Consider the following 5,076-nt stretch of genomic DNA (forward strand, 5'->3'; position numbering starts at 1 on the left):
GTCATTGACTGACTTATTAATGTGTGTTGGGTGTTAAGAATTGCGCACGCTCATCTTCTCCTTTAAGAGGTAAGCAAATAGTAGCCCTGAAGAGTCAAGAATACTCAGGGGCTCAGTACGAAAGCAACATAGTATTCCAGTTAGAGTGCAGGTGCAGATTTGGATACTCCTTGCCTCCAATCTCACTGCCACTGTTTACTCTGAGCAGGTTGTGTTGCCTCTCTGAGCCTCAGTTTGCCCATGTGCAAAATGGGAATGATAATAATAATACTTACCTTGCCAAGTATTATAAGCTTGAATTGAAATAATGATGTAAGGAGGTTAGCATGGTGCCTGGTGCATAATAAGCAGCCACAAATGGCAGTTAATAGGATTAATTCTCAGGGATGGAGAACCCTCTAAAAGGTTGCATCAGGACTTTGCTAAACAGGCCTCTAACAGAACCTCATTCTCCATCCTCTGGGTGCTCCTCCCAGGGCCTGGTGTATGCGTCTCCTTTAGAAGGAACACACACACATTCTTCTGCCCAGGGCATGTCTTTCCCTACTTTCCAGAGGAAAATGTCCTGATTCATTTTCCCTGTCAGGAGGCTGGAAGGAACAAGCAAAAAGAAGGAGAGAATTGAGGTCATTGGTCCATCCACACATAAGCTCCAATTCAGTCTTTCCAGGGAATCACTCTGGATTTACTCACCACCAAGTGACAGATGAGAGCAACTTAGTAATTTGAAAACCTGGGAAAATAACATGTATTCTGAGATGTTCCCAGTGCTGGTTTGGAATTACTGAGCACTGTTCATTTCAGCCTTCAGCAGATCATGCCATCCTGAGTTGGAGTTGGCAGTTCTAGGGAGGTCCTGAGATTAACCCAGAGACTGAGACTGGACTCCAGGGAGTCACAGCCCAGTTCAGGCCTTAGCCAGGGTCCAGACTGTGCTTGCTGGGTTTTCAGCTTTTCCAAAACCTGTATAACCAATCCCTGCCTTGTTGTCTATCTTCGATTCTTAGCAAGGTTCCTGTTTCAAGATGCAACCACAGAGTAGAATCAATGTAAAAAGACATCTATACAGGGAGCACTGTGAAACACACAGAGGGCTACAATCTATTATTGCCAGGTGCTGGAAGATCAGGAAGAGCTAAGTAGAAGAGGCATGACATGCAAATAGGGCCTAGGAGGATGAGGATGAGTAGAGAGTTTAAGTAAGAGTGGAAAGGAAGGACATTGAAAACACAGGAACACGATGCACACAGGTAGGAAGACAAGGTGGTGTTGGCAGATAGATCATATATACATGGGTAATGCCTGGGAGCAGGCTTAGGAAAAAGCACTGCCTCAATTTGTTCTCTTATTAATTAGTCTAGTGTCTTTCTTAGTCACAGACTGTGATATCCAGGGTCCAAGATGACCTCTAATGATCTCCTCCTCCTGGTTTTCTTGTCTTTGTGTGGTCCTTACTCCCACTTAATAGGGCTGACCATGAGCCAATACGATGTTGTCAAAATTAAGGTGTGACTTCCAAGTCTAGATCATACGATATGTTTCCACTTTGCTCTCTCTTGGCTCCTAGCTGTGGGTAAAGACAGCTACCCTATCATTAGGACACTCAAGCAACCCTACGGAGAAGACTATGTGGTGAGGAACTGAGGCCTCCTGCCAATAACCAGTACCAACTTGCCAGGCATGAGACACCTTGGGAGTGGATTTTGCAGATCAGGCATGTCTTATATGAAGGCACACCTGGCCAATAGCCCATTTGTTGCTTCAACAGCCAAAACCACCCAGCTAAGCTGCTCCTGGATTCCTGACTCCTGGAAACTACATGCCAGTAAATTACCTTTACTTTAAACTCTAAATCAGAATAGACTATGTTGTGCCTTTTTTTCTTGGAGCTTCCACACAAAGGGATCTTCATCATGGACTGTTTTGCCACAATAAACAGAAGATCTCCTGGGGCATATTAAAGGGAAATGTGTCCTTAGATAACCTGGAAGCTAGATGTTTGTCAATGTGGCTTCATGTGGTTGCTTTCCTCTGCACACATTCTGCATTCTCCTCTATGCAGCTCACTTCCTTTGTACGGCTGTAAGTTTCCATTTACCTAGAACTTGCATTTGCCTATGGTTTGTGGTGGCAACCCTGGCTCTAACCTTACATGACGTTATTGATCCAGAGTCAATCTCAATCTTACCACATGTTTTGTGAGCTTACTTTATATTTTCAAGAACGAGGATGATTGGCTCCTCTTGAGTCAAGTACCTGCCCATGAACTCTTCAGGTAGGACCAAGGAGCAGTCACCCAGTATACACATGGCTCCTTAGCTTCCTTCTTTAGGAATGGACTGGAAGAATCATGACCAAATGAAGGGTTATAGATCTGGCCAGCACTTCAAACATTGCCATGTGTAGTACATGTAGCCCCAACTAAGAACTTCCCAGAAAACCTGCTGCAAGATCAAGATCAAACACTCTCTCCATTTTTATGAACACACTAGGGTGTGAAACTTTCTCTCCCGAATAAGAAGAAACTTGAAACAAAATCCTGTTGGTAGCCAGGCATTAGGATTCATGACTCAAGACCCACATTTTTACAAAAGCAATTCCAAACTCTCAAAATCAATTATGCATCATATTATATCCTCAGAATAAAATAAATATACATCCCAGAATTAATATGAAGGCATAAACAACTGCTGACAGCCTATAAATTGTATTAGGAAAACTTTGATAAACTCTTACTTTTCCACACTTCCCTCAACCTCATGACAATAACTGTTTAGATTCAACACATATCAGGGGCATATGCAGCTGGAAGTAAGGAGAGTTGGAAATAAATAAAAAGGAAAACAGCAAGAGCAGGAGAAATGAGCAGAAGGTTAATGACTTTAAAGGGGAAAAGGTCACAAGAAGAAGTGAATCTGATAGCCCTGGAAAACACCCTTTTTCCTTTCTGATAAAGGAAGGTAGCTAGGAGTGTCTTTATGAATTTACTTTTCATGCTTTCCCTCTGGTCCTTAGCAAAGAGGGGGAAATTCAGAATGAGCTATTATTTACTCAAGAAATAGTTACTGGACATCTGAAGGTGTCAGAGGCGTTCGAACCAGAGCAACTCCATCTTGAGTGAGGGCTAGGAAAATGAGGCTGGGACCTGCTGAGTTGCATTTCCAGAAAGGTATTCCTAGCCTCTAGATATTTACACTTAAGGGAACAGATTGATAATGTTTACTAAACAGATCCAGACTTGGGACTCTCCGAATATCCCGATATCTTGAGAACAAAGGCATTCCTAATTTTGCTTTAAAGATAATAATATTGGCCAGACGTGGTGGCTCATGTCTGTAATCCCAGCACTTTGGGAGGCTGAGGTGGGTGGGTCACTTGAGGTCGGGAGTTCGAGACCAGCCTGGCCAGCATGGTGAAACCCCATCTGTACTAAAAATACAAAAAAAAAAAAAAAAAAAAAATTAGCCAGTGATGGTGGCACATGCCTGTAGTCCCAGCTATCTGGGAGGATGAGGCAGGAGAATCAGTTGAACCCAGGAGGCAGAGGTTGCAGTGAGCTAAGATCATGCCATTGCACTCCAGCCTGAGCAACACAACAAAACTCCATCTCAAAATAATAATAATAATATTGATTCTTGCAAAATATAGTAATTAAGAAAACCAATCCTTTGTCACAAACCCTGTAGCAGAGCACGTCTCCCAGTGATCTTCTCTTATCCTGTATATAAACAAGCATTGTACCTAGGGTGGACATATTCCTCCTCTTACTTTCAGGAACGTCCTAGTCTGTCTATGGAGTAGCTGTTCTTTCATCACTTTACTTTCTCAATAAATGTGCTTTCTCTTTGCACTGCGGACTTGCCCTGAATTCTTTCTTGAGTGAGATTCAAGAACCCTTTCTTGGGGTCTGGATCGGGACCCCTTTCCTGTAACAGAGGGACTAAATGGAGTCATGATCTCAGGCAACTTAAAAAAAAATACAGGAGACAGTTGAACAAACAATTGAAGAAAAATAGGTTCATTGCTATATCATGGGCATTGTACAAAATTAATTATGTGTCCAGGAAGGTGGGGGGATTGAGCTCCTCACTCTGTTGAATGGGTTCATGGAAAGGGCAGTATTATGGGTTGAATTGTATCTCTCCCCCAAAAGTCCTAACTAACCCTCAGTACCTCATAATGTGACCTTACTTGGAAATAGGGTCATTGCAGATGTAATTAGTTAGGTTAGGATAAGGTTATTAGGGCCCTAATTCAATAGGACTGGTATGTTTATACAAAGGGGGAAATTTGAACACAGAGACATGCACACAGGGAGAATGGCATGTGAAAATGAAGGCAGAATCAGGGTGATGCTTCCACAAGCCAAATAACCCTAAAGATCATCAGCAAACCACCAGAAGCTAGGGGAGAGGCACGAAGAGATTCTTCCTCAACCTTCAGAAGGAACCAACCATGCTGACTAACACCTTCATTTTGCATGTCCAGCCTCTAGAAATATGAAAGGATAAATTTCTGTTGTGTAAGCCACCCAGTTTGTGACACTTAGCTATGGCAGCCCTAGCAAAAGAATACAAACATTTTATAGTTTCTAAAGATTAAGAGAAGACTAACCTGCTAAAGATTAACCTTCAGGCTGAGGGGGCCAGAATAGGGCTTCAGTCACTTGAGGAGGGTAGACTTTGGGAATATGAGAAAATGCCTCATGTTGTAGGAGTGCACGTTAGAGAGGGATGCAAAGTGTGGCTGTAGAGAAAGAGAAAGGGAATGAATTGCGAAGGCACGTGTTGGGATGTTGCAACATTTTTAAAGGAAAGCTGGGGAAAAGAGAGGTATTGAGGCATCGGAATCACGTGAGGGCTGCTCTGTGATAAGTCTACAGTATACCTGGTAATAACAGATATCCAAAAGCTATTTGTTGAATGAATCAAGAAGAATTGGCTACTTCAGTGCAAATAATCAAGCCATGGGACATCCAGCATCAGGCTCTACCACATAGCCTATTGCATGAGTGTTCCAGGTGTTTCGTAGTCCCCTGGTGAAAGAAGAGCCCCAAAGGCAAGACACTCATTTTCC

General features: G+C 42.8%; 1 annotated feature.

The window, feature by feature from the left end:
- Positions 1,978 to 2,107: an enhancer, noted in NCBI's record as "active region_17879". NCBI's record gives its function as "activates an Ori minimal core promoter by ATAC-STARR-seq in GM12878 lymphoblastoid cells {active_cell/tissue: GM12878}" and the evidence as "EXISTENCE:reporter gene assay evidence [ECO:0000049][PMID:35858748]".

This window comes from Homo sapiens, chromosome 20, assembly GCF_000001405.40.
Source record: "Homo sapiens chromosome 20, GRCh38.p14 Primary Assembly".
NCBI classification, from domain to species: domain Eukaryota; kingdom Metazoa; phylum Chordata; class Mammalia; order Primates; family Hominidae; genus Homo; species Homo sapiens.